The sequence below is a fragment of the Homo sapiens genome, chromosome 17 (genome assembly GCF_000001405.40).
Source record: "Homo sapiens chromosome 17, GRCh38.p14 Primary Assembly".
In the NCBI taxonomy this organism is placed as follows: domain Eukaryota; kingdom Metazoa; phylum Chordata; class Mammalia; order Primates; family Hominidae; genus Homo; species Homo sapiens.
In genome coordinates this window covers 79,383,946-79,405,173 of record NC_000017.11, presented here as the reverse complement: position 1 = coordinate 79,405,173, position 21,228 = coordinate 79,383,946, and the positions used below count along the sequence as shown (strand labels likewise).

Sequence of the window (21,228 nt, the reverse complement as noted above, 5' to 3'; positions counted from 1 at the left end):
CTCCTCAGCTTTTCCATATGTTCGAATATATTGGTGATAAAATGTTGGGGGAAAATCAGCTGTAAGATGAATACGTAAAGGGCTATTTTTGGAGAGACCTGGGGAACATGCTTCACTGTGGTGATTGCTTGGGAGGCCCTCATAGTCTGGGAGTCCCAGCATCCTGCCGTGGGTGGGACGATCCGATGCAGGCCTTTGATTTCCTGGAGTCTAGACTAGGTGTCAGGTCCTGAGGAGGGGACTGAGGCTATCTACTTCTTTGAACATCCATGATTCTGGTCTTCTAGGATTTTACAGACTAGCTGGGAGGTCAAACACATATAGAGGAAAGAGTTAATTGCCTAAAACTTGGTGTGGGGTAGGAAGGCAGCTGGACTCTGGAGATGGACAGGTGAATGGCCCAGGCAGCTGAGGTCTGAGCATACCAGGCCACAGGGAGCCATGGATGGTTCTTGGGGGAGGGAGGCTGTGAGAGCAGGACTGGGCCCAGTGAGTGATTTGAGGGACCCACAGGGGTGGTGAGGAGGGCCAGAAGCTAGGTAATGGGAGGGGAGGGACAGGAGAGTCCGTGGAGCTGGTGGCCTGGATGTGGGCAGAGGAGAGGGCGCCGGGGCTGAGACTGGACCCCCAGTGCTTCTTGGCTTCTCACAGGCTGGCCCTCTGCGTCCATCTGTGTCTCCTGCCATCTTTGGGCCAGCTGCGTGACCTGGGCACAGAGGGCTTTGCAGCAGAGTGGGGCCGTGTGGCCTGGGGTGCCCGCGGGCTGGGACTCCTTGACACGTGCTCTGGTCCCAACTCCTTGCATCCCTCATGCCCGGAGTGTAGACTGCTCACCTCAAAGAGTTGGCTTAGGAGGGAGGAACCAGTGCCTAGCCAGGCCCCTGGTGGGCTGGGACATGGAGGGCTCCCACCGCTGTGGCCCTGCCCACGCCCACTGTCCTCACGGGCCTCAGTCCTGCGGCTTCCCGCCAGCTTGTTCTCTCCCCCTCAGGCTCCCCCAAATCTGTGTGTTCAACTGAGAGTGGGGACGGGACACTGGCATCACCCTTGGCAGGGAAGGAGTGAGAAGAGAGGACCATAGAAAATGAACATCCTGGGCCGGGTGTGGTGGTTCACGCCTGTAATCCCAGCACTTTGGGAGGCCAAGATGGGTGCATCACGAGGTCAGGAGATCAAGACCATCCTGGTTAACATGGTGAAACCCCGTCTCTACTAAAAATACAAAACTTAGCCAGGCGTGGTGGCGGGCGCCTGTAGTCCCAGCTACTCAGGAGGCTGAAGCAGGAGAATGGTGTGAACCCGGGAGGTGGAGCTTGCAGTGAGCCGAGATCGCGCCACTGTACTCCTGGGTGACAGAGCAAGACTCCATCTCAAAAAAAAAAAAAAAAAAAGAAAAAGAACATCTGGGAGCTTGTGCTGGGGGAACCTGAGAGGACGGGGCCTGGGCAGGTTTGCCCTGACACAGATGCCTGGAGGGCGGGTGAGGGGGCAGTGTACTGGGGGACAGGGAACAAGCCCCGCCCTGCCCAAGCCAGGAAAGCCACCAGGGACTTTCCCACCGAAGCTGTCCGGGACGTTCCCACCACAGCACAGCCCTCAGTGGCTAGACCTGTGGGTCTGTGGAAGCTGGACCTGTGGAGCTGTGGGGCTGACGGGGGTGGAAGTCCATGGTGGGGCTGTGTTCACGGATTATTCCTGAGCTCTGGAGTCTGGAAGTCAGGCTTGCCCACCTGTAGGTGACAGATATCCCTGACAGAGGTGCCCATCCACAGGAGCCTGAACCCCCCATGGGAGCTGCCCGTCTCTAATTTGCACAGATCCCTGACCTCAGGGGCAGCCCTGCTGCCGGGACCTGGCCCCACCTGGTAGGGGTGTGGGCCTTGCCAGCCAAGGGCCTTCTAGGACAGTCTGGCAAGCTAAAGGGCGACCAGCAGGCTCTCAGCCATCAGGAGGACATACAGGGTGGTGGGGAGGGTCTTGCTTTTCACCGCCCCTCCCCAAGCACCAAGGGAGGCCTGTTCAGGGCCCCAGCGAGGGGGAGGGAGCCAAGTCTTCCTCCTTCCCCCTGGCTGCAGTCCTCTCCCAGCAAGGCCACTGTGTCCCTTCCGAGATGAGAAAAGGTCCAGGGGTTAGTGTGCCTGGTGGGAGGGTCAGCCCTTCCCACAGCAGAGCAGATGAAGACCTTCAGCATGATCTGATGGCGATCCTGATGAGCCTTCTCTTTGCCGGGCACGTCCTGTGGGTCAGGCTCCTGCTGAGAATGTGACCTGCAACCTCGGGGCAGCCCCACGACATCCGGGAGGGTAGGTACTGCTCACACCCCCATAGTAGAGATGAGAAAACTGAGGATCCAAGCTGGATCCGGGTCAGAGGCAGAGGGTGCACTGGCTCTGACCCCGGGCTGTCCAACTCCAAACCCGTGCTCTGAAATCCCATCCCATCACCTGGCACTGAGCCTTCACCTGGTCCTCCCATCGTCCAGCCTCCTGTTTCACAGACAAGGAGACCGAGAGCCAAAGATGATAGCCAGTCGTAGAGCTCAGCGTCCAGGCCCTGGCCCACCCTTTCCTGTGCAGTGGGGTCCCCACCACCCCATGTGGCTCCTGCTTTGTCTGTGTCCGCCCCGCGGGGCCCCCTGCGCTCACTCCAGCGGGAGCCCTACAGCTTCTCAGGGGATCGTTAATCCCCGTTAGCACAAGCAAACAAACTCCCCGCTCCATTTATTTCATGGGGCTCCCAATTTAATTAGGTTTCCCAGTTTTCCGCCTGTCCTGGGCCAATCACTCCTTAAAACAGTGGAGAATTCATTTGCACCTGCTGTCAGAAAGCGTCTCTCCCCAGTTAGAAAAATAATTAAGCCATCATCACACATCAGGGGTAATGAATCACCATTTTTCATTCAGTTCGCAGGTCGTTTGTTTTCTTCTGCACTGGCAAAGGAGGTGCAAACTAAATTTGAGCAGCTGCCAAGTGGATCCTGCCTCCCTTGCAGAGCCCCTTCCCTTCTTCTCTCTCCAGAGACCCCTTTTCTCCTTGAGTGGTGCCATGGGGACAGCAGCCTCTGAGCATGCCCAGCTCTGCCTGGGTCCTCCACCCTGGGCTCCTGGTGGTGGGCCACAGATTGTCCCCTGCTTCTGCTCTTTCTCAGGTGTGACTCCCAGGTGGCTGCTCTGCAGGTAACGTGGAAGGTCTCACCTGTAAGAGAGCCGTATGCGGTTCCTGTGGTCACCAGAACGGATGACCACAACTGTGTGGCTTCAACAGCAGCATTTATGCTCTCACAGCTCAGGAGGCCAGAGTCCAGGATCAAGGCAGGGCCGCGCTCCCTCGGGAGGCTGGGGCTGGTGTGTCAAGCTGCTGTATCTGGAGCCGGTCGTCAGACCCACAATGATATCTGAGTGGGTACAGACCGTGAACTGCTGGGCCAGGTGCCCTGGGGCTCATAGAGAGGACGCCCCATGTAGGAACTTACAGACCCGTCACGGAGCAGGCTCAGCGAACGTCCAAACACGGGGCATGGGATCGGGGTGAAGGGAGAAATGAGCTGCGGAATACTGGAGTGTTGTCTCCTTTAAAAGTGAAACAAAAGAAATAGGTTCCCCTCTCCCATTCCCTCCCCTCTCCCTCTGCACTGAAGGCAGGGTCTCACGTGCACACTGGGAACACACACGCAGGACAGGGAATAAGGCGTTTGCATTTTGCAGACTCTCTCAAGGTGGTCTCATTGATTGGCTGATTGGTTGACTGTACCCCTGGATCATGAAGGAGTCGTTTTGGGGGGCTCACTGGCTCTTCTTATTTTTTTGTCTTCCCATTTGGCTTGAAGTTGACCTATTTTAAAGTGGTAGTAGCCCCGTTCTACCACCTGGTGGGGCGCGTGAGCAGCAGCGTGCGCAGGGGCGTGGCTCCCGCCGCTCAGGGCTCCTTTCCGAGAAGCTGGCTGTGAGTGGAACCTGACCGCGGAGCCCCGAAGTTCTTATCTTTCCTTTGATCGTTCCTGTAGGAATTGATCTCCCCTGCCGAACCGCTGTCATTCTAGAAGCAGCTCCAGAAGCGAGCACCAGCGTGGCTGACTGCTCTGCAGGGCAGCACTGGAGAGGCTCTGCGTCTGTGAATTTAAAAATGAACACGCCCGGATCTCTAGCTTTGGAAGTAGGGTTGTGACGACGTGTTTTTCTGTTTTGTCTCGTTTTTGTTCGGAGGAGGATCTCTTGGCACAGGGATGCTAGCTAGGCTGTCTGTAGACACATCCAGGAGCTCCCCAGGTGGCAAGGTGTTGTGGCAGCTTTGTGAGGGGCTGGCCCAGCTTAGGAGAGTGTGGGGACTTCGGTTTTGGCTTCGGAGGTGGCCTGACTGATGCAGAGACCCTCCCAGATCAGGGCAGTGACGGGGCCAACAGGTGCCCCCAAAAAGGGGTGAGTCCAGCTCCCACCTCTCAGTCAACGGGCATTAGAGCAGGAGCTGCTGCATTTGGGACACCCCGCTTACAGCCGCATCTTCCTAGTGTGTCTGAGCCTTCTGCATTCTTAAAACTGTGGTTAATTCGCGGGTCACACGTGAACTCACTTCACCCACCCCCAACACCTTGTGAGGTGGGTGTTATGGGTGAACTGTGTCTCTCTAAGATAAGTTGAAGCGCCAACCTCTGGTACCTGTGAACGTGACCTTATCTGGAAACAGCCTTTGTGGATGTAATCAGGTAAAGATGAGGTCACTAGGGTGAGCCCTAACCCACCATGACCAGTGTCCTTGTAGGAAGACAAAAACGCCGTGTGAAGACACATACAGGAAAAGGCCCCGTGACGGCAGAGGCAGGGTTGGAGAGACTCGGCTACAAGCCCGGGAGCCCCTCGGGTGGCTCCAGAGGCTAAGAAGCCATGAGGAAGAATTCTATCCGGAGTCTCAGCAGGAGCTTGGCCCTGCTGACCCCTTGGTTTGGGGCTCCTGACCTCCAGAATGTGAAGGAAAAAATTCATGTTGCTCTGAGCCACCCAGTTTGTGGCTCCCCTCTGGAGTTCCAGAGCCCCGTGGTGCATTTGTTTCACTGTCAGACTTTTTCCCCACTCCAAACCCCATTCCCCGAGAATCCTGCTCCGATCCTGATCCCAGGGGCAGTGTTGGAAGTGTCTGGAAACCGGTTAAATCAGCAGTGGCTCCACTGTCCCTCCAGCACTCCTGAGAGAATCTGTGGGTAGAGACAAGCAGTGGGTGAACCTGGATATCTCCAGACCTTTCCTGAGTGATGGGAAACGATGTCTAGATTCCAGAGCGGGAGTTAGACTGTCCTGCACTAGCCAGTTAAGGACAACGTTCACTTGGAGAGAAAGCCAGCATTCTTTCCAGCGGCGCGTTCACGCTTGCTGAAGACGGGAGCGCCCGAGGGTCTGTGGTGTCTGCTGCTCCCCGGGGAGGGGCCTCGGCTACATCTGCCTGAGAAGCCAGCAGGAAAAGGTGATGAGAACATCAGAGTTTAAAAACAGGTTTTCATAATGGACATTGTCTTTTGGTTTCAGCAGCACTTTTCCCACAAAATTAAAGGTAGATTTTTTTTGCTTTCTCCTTTGTGACTGCTGGGAGAGCGTGGCCTGCTGGGCCCTGGTGCGGCCACCGTGTGGGATTTTGCTAAATTTGATGACCCCTGATGGTGAAAAGTCCTCCCTGAACCACTGTCTTGAAAAGATGGCAAAAAAAAACCATCCCTGCCCTCCACATGGAACCTGCAGTCACGCCAGGAAAACCCTTCATGAAAGCTGGTGCAATGCTGTCACTCTAATCAGAAGCGCGAGCCGTGCACGGAAGCAAAACTGCTGATTTACCAGCTGTGTGTGTGCGGGCACGCACCTTTGCCTCCCGGTGCCTCGGTTTCCTCATTTGTGAAGCGGGGATAGCCTCACCCACGGTACGCATTTCCTGTGGCCGCTGTAACAAACTGCCACGGACTGGGTGGCTGGAAACACAAGATTTTTTTTTAACATTCTGGAGGTCAGAAGCCCAAAACCAAGGGGTCAGCAGGGCCATGCCCCCTCTGAGACTCCAGGTAGAATCCTCCCCACGGCTTCTTAGCCTCTGGGGGCCGCCAGCCACCCGAGGGGTTCCCGGGCTTGTAGCCGCGTCACTCCAACCCTGCCTCTGCCGTCATGCGTCCTTCTCTCATGCATGTCTTCACACGGTGTTTTCCTCTTCCTACAAGGACACCAGTCATGGTGGGTTAGGGCTCACCCTATGACCTCATCTTTACCTGATTACATCGGCGAAGGCTCTGTTTCCAAAGAAGATCTCGTTCACAGGTACCAGGGGTTTGCGCTTCAACTTATCTTAGAGGGACACAGTTCAGCTGTGCACTGTGTGTGTTGGGTGGGCGAAGTGAGTCCCCAGGTGAAAAGTGGTCAGACTCGTGACTGGCCCCCGGTAAACATCACGTAGATGGCCACTGTGCCCCTGCCCTTACTACTTTATGCACTCACATCTCCCAGGGTAATTCCGCTCTCTCAGCCTCAGCGCTGCTGCTACGTGGGAGCCGCATCGTCGCCCACGGTGGAGGCCGCCCTGTACGCTGCAGGGCATTCAGCAGCACCCCTGGCCTCCACCCACCAGATGCCAGAAGCCCCTCCCTCAGTTACGATGACCAACAATGTCTCCAGACATTGCCACGTGTCCCTCCCCAGGAGGTAAAATTACTCTCGGTGGAGAGCCGCTGACGTGGTTTATGTGGTGTACGTATGTTAAACGCTGACAGATATCGTCAGGCTGTGTCCTCCTGCCAGGCCTCGCCAGTTCACATCCCATAGTGGGTCCCCACATTCTGGGGTGACGGGACACCTTCACCCTTTCCCACTTTTCTGAAACCGTGGTGCAAATTGATGCAATGAAGCCTCGTCTAGGCCAGGAGCGCCTCAGGGCTGGACGCTCCCATACTTGGGGGGCAGTTCTGGGAGTTTCTGCAGGCCTCCTTTCTGGTGCATAATGAGCCTCCCGAGGCCCAGCAGGATCAGGACTGCTCTCAGCACTGCTTGTATTTTCTCTTTCTTGCAAAGCACTAGATTGGGCTCTAATTGCTGCTCAGCTGCAAAGCCCTGACTCTGGGGCCCCGACAAGGCGCCCAGAGCCTCGTTCGGGCTCCGAGTCTTCCTCCTCTTTAAACTCCTGTGATACTGTCTGTACCCTAAAGCTGTCTGGGTGGGGGTGTGCAGGACCGCAGACGAGAATATTCTGAAAATCCGCCGCCGGACAGATTCGTGACGGCGTCTCACGGTGATCCAGGACGGAAAATCCATCTTCCCAGCCCCAGGGCCTCTGTTTGTGGTTGTAGCTTTCGGTGCTGGCATCGAACTGTCAAGGCTGAGACACCTCCCCTGCCCACCGCTGTGGCCTGAGAAAGGTATCCAGAAAAACAGAGGGTTCCCCGACGTCCTGGAGGCCTCCCGGGGGTGGTAACAGGTCCCTGCCGTGACTCCTGTGATGCAGCTGGTTTATCTCAGCCATTGGACCATGTCGTAAAGGAAAAGATGTCAGTGAGGTGTGAGCTGGGCTGCTCTAAATCAGACACTATGGCCAGCTCACCTGGCCCGAAGCTTAAATCTGCCCTAGGTTGATTTTGATGGGAAATGAGGTATGCGAGGAGGCTCTTAATGGGCTTTTCTAAACTTCTGGGGGTGGGGGTCGCACTTTTTTTTTTTTTTTGGGGATGGAGTCCTCCTCTGTTGCCCAGGCTGGAGGGCAGTGGCATTATCTTGGCTCACTGCAACCTCCACCTCCCGGGTTCAAGTGATTCTCCTGCCTCAGACCCCCGAGTAGCTGGGACTACAGGTGTGCGCCACCAGGCCCAGCTAATTTTTTTTTTAAATTTTTTATTTTTAGGAGAGACAGGGTTTCACCATGTTGGCCAGGATGGTTTCGATCTCTTGACCTCATGATCCGCCTGCCTCGGCCTCCCAAAGTGCTGGGATTTCAGGCGTGAGCCACTGCGCCCAGCCCACGCTTCTTAAAAGGATAGTCACTTATTTGAATGTAAATAGTGATGCTATGGCAAGGAAATCCTGCCTGTCCGCGGGGCTGTGGGGAGGCGTCTCCTGGAAACACTGATGCTGTGAAAGTGACAAAGCTGTATTTCTTTATTCCCAAATCCACCCCTTGAGACAGGTCGTCCTTGCAGCCAGGAAGCATTTCCAAGATTCAGGCTCTGCGGCTTAGCCTGGTGCGCGTTCCCTGCCGCTGTGACAGGGGTTCGTTCTCCTTGCAGACTTCCCTACCATGGATGACAGGTCCCACCCTGGCCCGGCTTCACGGACCCGTGACCGGTGGAGGCGCTGGAAGCTGCACTCAGAAGGGATCCAGGCTGGGTTTCATGCCCTGTTGTTGCTGTCTGGGAATTCTGGACAACTTTTTAATGAGGGGATGGTCCCTGCAAATTATGTAGCTGGTCCTGCCCACAGCCTGGGGCCCGAGGGGGACAGCTTTCATCCCTCCGAGCAGTAGGTGGGCCTACCCAGGCCAGCTGGACAATGACAGCCCTCCTGAGTCTGGGTCCCTTTTTTCTCTGGATAATGACGGGGTGGCCAGCACCTGTGAGGATGCCCTCCCACTTAGAGAGCAGGGTGGGCATAGGGCTGGGGAGGGGGTCTCAGGGGGAGTCAGAATAAAATTTGCATTAAGGAAGGAGGTCCTTTCCCCCTTTCTGGAAAGAAACCCTTAATTCTTCTGGTATCATTGTGCTGGAGAAGACAGAGGTTTATTTCAGGGAGTGGGGAGCCCCTTTTCCTTAGGATGCTGCATTTTAAAGGGCAAGGCCAGGATGAGCAGGGAGAGAAGCAAGAGTCCTCGTGGGCAGCAGAGGTCACTTTGCAGCATCTCAGACGCACAGACACAGGGAGCTTCAAGTTTGGGCTTCTCTGTTCTGAGCTCAGCCACACCCTTCTCCCCCGGCTCTGCCCAGTCCAAATTTGATCCAAAAGGGTATCTTTCCTTCCACTGGAGGTCCAGGCAGCCAAGGTGGTAACCAAAAGAAGGTGGGAGGCAGGTTTTGGAGGCAGGGCCCTCCGGCCCCAGGTGGAGACGTGGCTTTGCACCCTGCCCTGTTACTTTTGAGATGCTCAGAGTTCTGGGGAAGGACTCAGGGGCTCAGACATCCTCAGGTCCTGGCAGCTTGAGCATCCAGATGACACCAGACCCGGATCCTGGAACGGAAACCAGTGGCAGGCGGGGCTCCTTGTGTGCACCTTGTTAGTGCACCTGTACCCCAGACCAAGGGTGAGGGATGCCCCATGGCCTAGCTGCAGCCCCGCTGGCAGGTGAGGGTCTACCCCTTCTGCAGGATGCTCTGCTCCCACAGCCAGGAGGGGATCTCAAGCCTCCTGAGTCACCGAGGCAGCCTCAATCCAGGGCTGACGTGATGGGCTCCTGGTCACGTCACGGCTCAGCCACTTGCTGTTGTTGACCTTGGGCAAGGCGCTTCTGCCTTGTGCTTCAGCGTCCTCCTCTGCAAAGCGAAAGACCACCAGTCCCACCCGTTGGGGTTGGGGGAGATGACCCACTGGAAGCCCCTGGATCAGTGCCCGGCACACACTAACTGCCAGGCGGGCGCCAGCTGTCACCATCCAGTGTGAAGGGAACCTCGCTGTCCACTGTAAACCACAGCCCAGAGCTCTTGGCTTGTGTGCTGAGCCTGGCTTAGGAGAGAGGGTCTCAAAGACACCTTTGGCCTCAGTGAGGGTCACCTGTACAAATGGAGCCGTGTGTGGCTCACAGATGTGATGCAGCTTAAGCGAGGCCAGACACATAGCAGGTCCCCAGGAAGTGTGGTTCCTCCCGGCACTGAGCGGTGGTTGGCTCCACTGTGCTCAGTCCAGGTGTGGAATGCCCCATCCCTTAGGAGGGGTCCTCCCAGGCAGGGAGCCAAAGGCTTGCTCAAGATAGAGCCTGCAGCTGTTCTCCACAGAGGCCGCCACACATTGCTGGGTCCGGTGTCAGCTCATCGTGGCTGCAAATGAAACAAAGGGACTAACAAAAACATCTAGCCCTTTGCCACTGATCCTTGAATCCCTGGTCTCCGGCAGAAGGTTGACGGGAGGCCCAGATAGAGCACTGCTTTGCGGGCCTGGATCCCCATCAGTCGCACTGAATGACAGCAGCTGTGGCCACCACTGGGATGGCTGATCCACCTTTAAGGCTGTTCTGGAAGGCTGCACTTAACCCTGGGTTCTCATCCACCCTTCTGGCACCTCCTGACGTCTTGCCGCCTCTCTGCGTCGTCCCACCTGCACACGCCCCGAGCGCCTGTGTTGCGTCTCCAGGCCCTTCTCCTAGCTCTTCTCATATCCCTCTACCTCACTGGGTCACTCATGTAGCGAGGGCCCGGGACGTCTCAGGAGTGGGGCAGAGCTGTGGCTCCAATGAGCCTGGGGTAGTTGAGGAGAGAGATGTGTGGGTCAGTGGGGGCTCAGGCTTCAGTGTTGGAACAATTATCTGTGCAAAGAGACTTGGATAAAGAGGCATGGTCCAAGGCTTCAGACAAGACCATTTAGAGTGGGGGCCATTTGTTTACTCTGTGGACCTGTTTCCAGTTCACGTCCTTCATTTGCTCATCTCGCTGGGAGGACTGTGCGTGCTGCCTTGACTGTCAGCCTCCTGTCCTGGAGTGGATGGAGAAGGACAGGCCCTTGAGGCTGGCGTGGCTTGCTCCATTTTTGGCCAAGCACTAGGGTGCCGGCCTAGGGTGGACATAGAAGCCAGACTGTTTTCCAGGGGGTAAGATGAACCCCACCTGCACTCAGAGGGCCCTGGAGACCCCTGCCCCAGTGGTGGAGATGGGGGCTTGGCTGGGCTCTGGCCTCAGGGTCACTCTGCACTGTGGGGAGTGAGTGTCTCAGTGATCAGGGTGCAGGGTGAGCTCCTCCCTGGACCTGGACACAGTGTCGTCCTTGAGTCCCTCATGCTTTTCCATCCTGGGCCCTCTGTCCATTCTCGCAGATCTCAGCCCACAGGCGAGGGCTCAGATGTGTGTGTGATGACCGATTCAGATGATGTGCGCGGGGACCAACTCAGATGTGCGTGATGATTGGCTCAGACGATGTGCATAGTGACCGGCTCAGATGATGTGTATGATGACGGGCTCGGATGTGCACTGATGACCAGCTCCGATGTGTGTGATGACCAGTTCAGATGATGTGCACGGGGACAGACTCAGATGTGCATGACTGGCTCAGACGATGTGCGTGGTGACCGGCTCAGATGATGTGTATGATGACCGGCTCAGATGTGCATTGATGGCCATCTCTGATGTGTGCGATGAATGGCTCAGATGATGTGCGTGATGACCGGCTCAGATGATGTGTGTGATGACCAGCTCAGATGTGCATGATGACTGGCTCAGATGATGTGCATGATGATGACCAGCTCTGATGTGCATGATGACCAGCTCTGATGTGCGTGATGACCAGCTCAGATGATGTGTATGATGACCGGCTCAGATGTGCGTGATGACCGGCTCAGACGATGTGTGGCGACAGGCTCAGATCATGTGTGTGATGACCGGCTCAGATGTGCATTGATGACCGGCTCCGATGTATGTGATGACTGGCTCAGATGTTCATTGATGACCAGCTCCGATGTGTGTGATGACCCGCTCAGCATCCAGTGTGCTATTGCCCTGGCCAGGAGCAGGAGCAGATTGCCGACCAGGAGCCAGCTCCCAGCAGTGCCAGCCAGCGCCGCGAGGTGGCGCCAGGGACCACACGAACGGAGAGCGTTTCCCTGCGGCTGCTCACTGGCCGGGTCTCCCCTGAGAGGCTTGCTTCGTCCAGCATCTCCCTCCCAGTGTATTGTAACCACGACTCTCCTGTCTTCTAACAAGCAAGTTAGGTGCAGGTGGAAGTGTGGGGTTGGGGTGTGGGTAGGAGAGGTGCCCCAAGCCTCCCTTTCCCCCTGTGCTGCAGCAGGCGGCTACGCGGGTGGAACTGAACTGTGAAACCCCAAATCCGTCTCCATAAAGGTTTTGTGTGTTTGAGAAAAAATGCCTTTGCACTCTGCTATGTTCTATCTCTTGCTCATATCACAGTTCATTGTGTATATTTTACAACTCCTACATATTTTGGGGGCACAGGTGCAATTTTGTTACATGTGCAGACTGTGTAGTGGTCAAGTTGGGGCTTTGGTCTCCATCACGATGCACTTGGAATTGCAAATTTTGGTGGTTCTCTTGCTTGGTAGTTTAGGTTTGGGGAAAGGAAATGTGTGTTCGTTAACTGATAAATATTCCTATTTAGTAAGTACATGTCAGGATAAATGAGAAGGAATCCTTTCTCCTCAGAGAAGCTCTGCAGGAGTCAGTGTCTCAGTCAGCAGCAGCAGGTTATGCTCAGTAACAAACAACCCCACATCAGAGATCTGTAGCAATTGCGGGTTGATTTCTGGCTCATATGCATCTTGGTTCCTGAGGGTGTTGTGCTGTGCTGTTGCCCTCACTCAGGACCCAAGCTCATAGAGCCACTGCCCGATGCTTGCCAGATATCGGGAAGAGAGGGTGTGGTACTGCACACACTGTTGGTTCTGCAAACTTCGGCTGGAAGTGACACCCCTCTGCTCCCATTTTGTTGGGCAAAGCAAGTCACGGGATGGTGCCTAACTTAAGTGGGTGGGAAGGGCAGCTCCCCGTGGCTCCAGCAGGAACAGGAGCCAGGAGATTATGAACAACCTCAGTGACAGCCACAAGACACCTGTACCACCGACATTACCATGCACCTGTGAGTGGCCGGGCCCTGCGCTCACTACCGTGTGAGAGTTAGCTTATGAATCTTCACAACTCCACAATGAAAGACGGTGAAATCACGTGCCCAGGATCACACAGCTAGTAAGTGGCAGGGCTGGAATTCAGGGCCAACTGGCTGCAAGGTCCGTGTGCTGAGCTGCCTCTCTCTGCTGTGTGAGTTTGGATTCTGGAACAATCGTTGGCATAACTAACCACTGAGAAAAGAGACGGGGGTGAGGAGGCTGCCCCAGTTTTCTTTACTGTTAGCTCTGTGATGTGCTGTTGTTGGCTCCATTTCACAGAGGAAGGTGCTGAGGCTAAAAGAGTTTGCCCAAGGTCCCGCAGCGGGTCCGAAGTGCCCGGGCACTATGGGAACCCTGTTGCTTGTCGGTGTCTGTTTCCAAGACGGCAGAAAGCCTGACCATCGCGGGGCCCTGGCGGGAGCGTTGCCATACAAGTTTCCTTCCACCAGGGGGAGCACGTGCCTTCTCAGCAAACCCGCGACCTGTGAGCTTCAGAACCGGGAAGGAGGGGACCTGGGGCTTGTCCAGCCTGGAGCCTTTTTTTTTTAACAGATTCGGAAACCGAGGATCAGAGCGGGGGTGTGCTGTCCCCCAAACACATGCGTACTGGTTCTCGTTGTCATGCATGTTGGTGGTCCTGGTGTCTCCACATACCCCCCACCCTAACTCACACGTGCACACAGACTTTCCTGTGCCCACACACGCTCACACGCACATATATGTGGATGCACAGGCAGGCAAGTACACACGCATGTATGCACATGTGCACGTGTACATGTACCTCACTGGGCCTCATTTCTTCATTCCTAAAACTAAATTCCTAATTCCTAAAAGTGAATCAGCACCTGTGAGGTTGGTTTCGGGTGAGATTAAAATCGGTGGCATTTGCCGTATTTGGGCGGACAAGTCATGAACTTGACATTTTAGATAATAATTCAGGAAGATGTTATGATACCACCCATTATTAAGCAGAGGAGACTGAGGCTCAGAGAAGTTAGGTAACCTGCCCGAGTGTTCACCAATCGTGGGAAGGAGAGCTGAAGCTTGAACCCAGGTGTGCTGGGTTTAAATCCTCCCTTTTTCTCCCCCTGAGACAGCTGGTCATTGAGGGTCAGGTGAGAGGTGCTGGAGCTGAGACCCCAGCTTGGGGGTTGCGCTAAGGAATTTGGATTTCATCCTGCAAGCAGTGGGGAAGTCGCTGACGGTTGAAGAGAAGCTGGAGTTTGATACAGTGGTAGTGAGGTTTTAGAAAAGTTAATCAGACTGTCTGGAAAAAGAGAGGCTGGTATCAGGGAGCCTGGCTGGCAGGGGTTACAGGCCACCAGACCCGAGGTGCGAAGGCTCCCATGGCAGTGGGTAGAAGAGAGACTTTGAAGAGACAGCGAGAAAGCCTTCCAGGGAAGGATCTGTGGGAATCAGGGGGCTGTGGAGAAGAAAGCGGGAAGAGAGAAGGGAGAAGCAGAGCTGGCTTTGGGTGGGTCCAGGAACTCCCTGCCGGCACCCGAGCAGTCCCACCAGGGGCTCATCCCGAGGTGTCTGGGCAGGAAGGTGCCTCCTGGTGAGGGGTTCCGCTGCCTCAACTCTCAGATGCTCCATGCGCTCCTCCAGTTTCCCACTGCCAGGATCCCCACCCTGAACTCGCCTCTGGCAAACTTTGAATGGGCCATGCGTTGGGAGGCCGAGACGGGCAGATTGTCTGAGATAAGGAGTTCGAGACCAGCCTGGCCAACATGGCGAAACCCTGTCTCTACTAAAAATACAAAATTAGCTGGGTTTGGTGGCAGGCGCCTGTAATCCCAGCTACTTGGGAGGCTGAGGCAGGAGAATCACTTGAACCTGAGAGGCAGACGTTGTAGTGAGCCGAGATTGTGCCACTGCACTCCAGCCTGGGCGACAAGAGCGAGACTCCATCTAAAAAAAAAAAAAAAAAGCAGTGGCGCAAAGACTGTATTTCCACGCCGGTTGGACTCTGAGTGCATTTTCCAGCACCAAAGTGGGCAGATGGGGCTGAGCCCCGAATGAGCTGGAACCCGTCACCTGGCCGTGATGGTCGTGATGAAACCACAGCGTGGCAAAGCCAAACTCAGAGTGGAGTCTAAGAAGTCCCCCCGGGATGCTGGTGTCTGCCAGCTAAAGGATTGCAGGATGATGGGGCGGAGGGATGTGTTATTCTAGGAGGACCTCTGGGCACTTGAAAGTCAGTGCAGCGTCCCGGAGGTTGGACACCTCAGAACTCTGTGGACTTGCCCTTCACTGCTGCTGGTCCTCCTCTGTGGACCCAGCCCCTCGGCCGGGTGGCTGGCTACGGAGACCCGGAGGCTGCGGAGACCCGGAGGCTGCGGAGACCCGGCGGCTGCGGAGACCTGGAGGCTACGGAGACCTGGAGGCTGCGGAGACCTGGAGGCTGCGGAGACCTGGAGGCTGCGGAGACCCGGAGGCTACAGAGACCTGGAGGCTGCGGAGACCTGGCTCTGGTTGCTCCAAGGCCTCCTTCTCAGCTGAAACCCTCTCTGCTTTGGAAACAGAAAACGCTAGTCTCCAGCCCTGCAGTATCTGAGCATGGCCCTGGCCCCCTCAGTCTCCTCTCATTCTAAACTGTTGTCTTTTGTGCCTTTGTATAAATTAATTCGTGCTGATGAACCACTGAGCACTGGTTCCCCAAGTACGGTCCCCAGCCTGGAAGTACTGGCATTCCCCAGGAACGTACAAGAAAGGCATGTCGTCTGTCCCACCCCAGATCTCTGGAGTCAGGCAGTCTGGAAACCGGCCCAGCATGCTCATGTGTCATGTGTCGGTAAGGCTGCCCTTACCTGAGTGGAGACCCACTGAGGCCGAGGCAGGGTGGGGGACTCAGTGTTTAACAATAGGCTCTTCCAAAGGAACTAAAGCAGGTTGATGTGTAGCATTTGTCAATTCCCCTGCTGTAAATACCCCCTCAAGGGCTGTCAGCTGCTGTCAGCTGGCTTGTAGAGTTCCTGAAAAGTACGAACCAGCTGCAGCATTACTGACGGGGAGAAGTCAAAAGTCCAGAAAGGGGGCCTCCCAGGGGCAGGAGTGCTCCAGAGAATACCCAGCTACTGTTTATTTGGGCATCTCATTCTAGGGGTCCCCAGACCTTTGTGTTTCTACCCCCAGTCCTCCATATGTCACATAACCACCAACTCTCGTTGCACACCAAAGGGGTGAGTGACCCGAGGTTTGGTGGTTAGTGCTCTCCTGGAAGAGCAGCGAGGGAGAGAGGAAGGGGACCCCAAACTTCAAAAGTGAGTTTCCTCCCCTGTGACGCGGTGCTTGCCACACCGCCCCCCCGCGCCCACCGCTTCGTCCCTCCGTCTCTGTTCTCATTCATGGTCAGTGTGGAGGAAGGATGTAGAGAAAAGGCCATTGGTGGGGCCACGTCTCCCTCTGAAATGCTTATTGCAGGAGGCGAAGGAAGCTGAGAGGCAAGGCCCCAGTTCTAAAGGATTGGAGGGCTTGGCGGCTGGGAGGAGTTAAGGGAATCTGTTCCCTGCCGCTGGGAGAGGATGGTGATCGGTGAGCACAGCTCAGAGATAAGTGGTTAGCGGGCAAGATGAATTATCAGTGGGGCTGTGGTGGCCACCTGTGTGAGTGATGCTTGGCGAGAGGCTCCGGCAGCACCGGGGCATGTGCAGGAGGGGTGGCTGGAGGCGGCTGCTGAGGAGCTGCCACCTGTGTCCTTGCCGGGAACCCTGGCCGGGACGTGGACATCCTCCGTGGCCACTAGAGGGTAGTGCTGCTGCAGGTGGGAACGAGATCCAGCCCGCAGCTGTGCAGTGAGCTTCCTGGAGCAGGGGCGCTCAGAGCCAGCTTAAATCCCCTGTTTTTAAAAGAGATTAGAGATTTATTAAAAATCTTCTCTTTTAAAAATGCCTGCCTTTGGTGACTAAGTAAGGCGCATGCAGGTGGGAAGGCATCTGGACACAGCTGAAAACGATTCCATGTGTGTTGGAAGAAGTAGGGAACAGGCTCCATGCGTGGGGAGATGAGTAACCCTTGACAAAGCTCCCTAAAACAGGATCTTGCACTGGCTCTGCATCCTCGTTCAGCCGTGGTCATGCCTGGGTGCTTTTGAGGCCCTGGAAGGGCCCAACTCCTTGTTCTCTCAAGCTCTTCTGGCCTGGGCATGACTCTTCTGTGATAGAGCCCCCACCCCAGTCACAGCCCATGGAGCACATGGGGGCTGCGTAGTTATGGCCCAGTCTGTGTGGTCAGAGAGCTGCTAACACACATGCACACACACATGCACACACATTTGTATGCACAACCACACATGCACATATACATGTCCACATGCACACACATGCACACGTAGGCACACACACTGCACAGTGCACACATGTACATGCACACAAGTTCATATCCACTTGCATGCACACACACACACACGTACACATTCACACATGCACACACAGGTACACGTTCACACATGCATGTACATGCACACATGTACACATGCACACGCATGTATGCACACTCGTACACACAATCACACACTCTTGCACATGTGCACACACACTGTACAGTGCACACATACCCATGCACACGTTAGTCTGGTCCTGCTCTTGGGGTATGGGTTGGGAAGGAGTGGGCTCTTCCCTTGAACTCCAAGTGCCCAGGCCCCCTGCAGTGTGGTTATGGGTTTTCAGGAGGCAAGAAGAATCTTCCTCCTGCTCCCAGTGAAAGAAGTGGCCCCACTGCACCCAGCCTGGGGGCCCCCAGTCCAACAACATGGCACATAGGCAGTGGTGAGAACCACAGTGAGGCAGAGCTCATGGCCCCTCATTTGTATTTGGCTTGGGGGAGAAGCCTGTCCTCTCTGGCCTCAGCTTTCTCATCCAGCCCATGCGGGCGGTACCAGCCATCTTCCAGTGAAGACGGTGGGACCCTGTGGGCCCTGGCAGTATTTATCCCTAGATCAGGCCCTGCCGGAAAGCTGAGGTTGCTTTTAAAAGACCTGGGACTTGTTTTCAGGGTCTCTGATGAGTGTTCCCCAGAGTGTGTTTGCCTTCATGTTTTGACTCACGCCTGTGAGTTGTTAGAATAATAGGACCGATTTTTCTTAACCTTTAAGGATGCTGGGGTTTTTTTGTGATGAAAAGCACACTCAGATACACAAAACCCTTTACTAGGCTGTATCAGATCAGTTTTTACTGTAGAAACAAATTACTGAAGTCACGCAGTGGAAATGCTGTGTGTAAGCATGAGTGTGGCCAGACCCCATGCTTGGACAGTAGGACTCAGTAAAGACTCTTCTAGAACTCAAGAGGGACCCCAGGGAGCCCTGGGGACCTCTCAAACCCCTGGGTCCTGCTTTCCTGTCCCTGTTCAGTACTAGAGGTACTGGCCTGTGAATGGGGTGGGGAAAATCATGTAAAAAATAGTGAAAAAGAATTCTGCAAGAGCAGAGTTTCTGCCTTCCAGGTATCTACCTTCCAATTCTGAGTTCCATTTTTCTCCTTCATAAGTAGACCTGTCTTCCCAAGTAGACAGCAAATGTCAAAATATGGGGTCCTGCCACATCACACACGGACATGGCTGCTAGGGATGGCCTTCTGCCACTAGGCGGGGTGGGTAGAGACATGAGAACTTAGCCTTCTTAGCAGGCTAGTCAGAAATGTGGTCCTGCTTGGAGTAGGGGGTGGGGCCGGGTAGCCTGGAGGGGCTGGACCCCAAGGGCTGCAGGGAACAGCGGGGCCAAGATGTCGGGTGGGGAAGGAACTCCTTGGGGAAAGGTGCCCGTGGTTGTTGGCCGGGAGCTCACACTGACTCTGGGGAAGGTGTCTGGCTCTGTGGGACCTGGTGGAGAACAGAACACTTGGGGGCTCCTTCCTCTGTCACTCACTGACATCATGGTGATAGTATGAGGGCTCTGGCTTTGGACCCCAGCTTGGATTCCAGCCCTGCCACTCACTAGCTGTCGACTTTGGACTAGTAACTTTCTGGCTCTTATTGAGTTTCCCTATGTGTAAAGTAGTGATGGAGCCCCACCTTTTACAGGAGGTGATGGAGCCCTCACCTATAACGGGAAATCGTGGAGCCTTCATCTATGATGGGAGGTGATGGAGCCTCCTTCTGTCATGGGAGGTGATGGAGCCCCTGTCTGCTGTGGGAGGTGATGGAGCCCCCGTCTGGTGTGGGAGGTTCCTGTCTGCAATGGAGGGTGATGGAGCCTCTTTCTCTAATGGGAGGTGTTGGAACCCCCATCTGTTACAGGAGGTGATGGAGCTCATGTCTGCAATGGAGGATGATGGAGCCTCTTTCTGTAATGGGAGGTGATGGAGCCCCCGTCTGGTGTAGGAGGTTCCTGTCTGCAATGGAGGGTGATGGAGCCTCTTTCTGTAATGGGAGGTGTTGGAACCCCATCTGTTATAGGAAGTAATGGAGCTCCTTCTGTAATGGAGAGTGATGGAGCCCCCATCTGGTGTGGGAGGTGATGGAGCTCCTGTCCGCAATGGAGGGTGATGGAGCCTCTCTCTCTAATGGGAGGTGATGGAACCCCCATCTGTTACAGGAGGTGATGGAGCTCCTGTCTGCAATGGAGGGTGATGGAGCCTCTTTCTGTAATGGGAGGTGTTGGAACCCCATCTGTTACAGGAAGTAATGGAGCTCCTTCTGTAATGGAGAGTGATGGAGCCCCCATCTGTAATAGGAGGTGATAGAGCCTCCTTCTGTTATGGGAGCTGATGGAGCCCGTCTGTCACAGGAGGTACTGGAGCCCCTGTCTGTAACGGGGGTGATAGAACCCACCCAGAGGGCTCACAGAATGAGGGAGCAGCACACGTGGTATTTGAGAGCGAACCTCTGTCTTTGTGACTCACTGAGAGTTCTCAGATGGGCATGGGGGACCAGGCTCAGCCAGCAGCTCTGATCACTGTGGCCAGGAACAGGCACAGCCCCTCCTGCCTGGCAGGACAGGACACCTGTGTTCTTGGGGGCTCGCTGATTGTCCTGCATCCTGCACCCTCGATGGATGATGGTTTCAGGCTCCTCCATGAGCTTCTTGGCAAAGTTGAAGCTCTTCCTTCAGTGACCTTTGTGGGTCTTGCCTGACTTCCCATGGCTGGTAGTGGACATGGGGCCTGGTGTTTCCCTTGCAGCCTCCCCGCCCTGCTGGGTGCTCTGGTTTGAGCTGCCAAGGGCTTCTTTCTGCCTTGTTGTGGGACCCTGGAGAGCTCTCTTCCCAGGCTCTGTCCTCCCCTTCCCGTCTCTGCCCTTCCCAGTTATTTCCCATGCACGTTAGGTGTTTTGGGACAAGCTGCTGATGTTTGTGGCAGGTGGGCCCAAGAGCCAGGGCATTCCTGGGACCCGAGGGGTTTGCAAGGGCCTGGCAGGGGCCGGGAAATGTTGGTCCCACCACAAAGCCCTGCCTCTGAACCAGGCCCTGGAAGGGCAATCTGATGAGGCTCCAGGGACCTTCTGGGCCTCTCCCCAGATAATGCTGGGAGAATTTGGGTGGGCAGCAGCCGGCGTGTAGCTGCCGAAGTTTGGAAGGTCTCCCTCCCCACTGAAACATCCCCCGGAAGATGCGTTTTGCCGCTGGACTCTTGGCCAACAACTGCTAGCCAGTATTTAGATGTGCTGTGTTCAGGGGCCGGTGTGGGTGGGAGCCAGCCTGCCAGCAGCTCCTCCTCCACGGCAGGTGACTGGCCCGCCAGCTGGGTCAGCGCTGGTGTATGAGGCTGCAGCCTGCTTGGGCCTCACCCCTGGCCGTCTGTGGACTTCCCGAGGCATCAACTGTATTGACCGCCTTGGTCCCCAGATGCGCAGGCCTGGGTGGGCCTGAGGAGGGTGCTGGCAGGGCTCCGGCCCCTTGATTCTTGGTGCATCTCTCTTGCATGGGTTTGGAAGCTGGCTTTGCAGATACCACAGAGAGGGGCATTTTGAGGGCAGACGGTTCTCCAGAGTCCAGCCTGCTTAAACCCCCTGTGCAGTCACCCTGCAAGAACACTCTTGGGCCAGGAAATGTACTCCCAGGGAGGTGGACCAGCCCCTTACAAGCAAGTAAGTCTGTTAGGCATAGACAGGGAGGGCGTGGCCAGATGTCCTGTGGGTGGACTTCTCCCCCACAGCCTCTAAGAGCTCCCTCTGAACAGACCTACAGAGAGTGCCTGGCAGTGCGGCCTCCTGGGAGATTCATTACCTTCCTCGCTCCCCTTACCGGGGTCCCCAGAGTGAGTCCTGGAGGCTCAGAAACCCTCTTTGTTTTCCGACATCCCCAGAAAGTGCAGCTCCCCTGCCTGGACCTGCCTGACCTGGCCACAGCCCTCGCCCTGAGCCCGCTGTAGGTGTCCTCTCCTTGCTGTGGGCATGTGGCGGCTGCGAGAACTCACACGAGTCCCGCTTTGCCTCCAGAGTCCAGTCTGACCTTTGAAAGCCTGGCTTCTAGCCCCGTGTCTGGCTTTGGGTCCAAACCCTGAATCTTGCCTTCCCCCACATACCCTG

At 55.7% G+C, this 21,228-nt stretch overlaps 1 protein-coding gene across 58 annotated transcripts in view, besides 2 other annotated features; it reads left to right on the top strand.

Moving 5' to 3' along the window:
• The window catches only part of RBFOX3 (RNA binding fox-1 homolog 3), a 576,227-nt gene that overhangs the window by 260,398 nt on the left and 294,601 nt on the right, over positions 1-21,228 (top strand). The gene's annotated exons all lie outside the window — the stretch shown is intronic.
• Positions 716-1,217: an enhancer, noted in NCBI's record as "H3K4me1 hESC enhancer chr17:77400039-77400540 (GRCh37/hg19 assembly coordinates)". NCBI's record gives its function as "activates a minimal SCP1, AML or CMV promoter by ChIP-STARR-seq in primed H9 embryonic stem cells {active_cell/tissue: H9 hESC(primed)}" and the evidence as "EXISTENCE:reporter gene assay evidence [ECO:0000049][PMID:30033119]".
• Positions 3,734-3,908: a silencer, noted in NCBI's record as "fragment chr17:77397348-77397522 (GRCh37/hg19 assembly coordinates)". NCBI's record gives its function as "represses an EF-1alpha promoter that drives an FKBP-Casp9 reporter gene in an ReSE screen in phorbol 12-myristate 13-acetate-treated (for megakaryocytic differentiation) K562 erythroleukemia cells {active_cell/tissue: K562(+PMA)}" and the evidence as "EXISTENCE:reporter gene assay evidence [ECO:0000049][PMID:32094911]".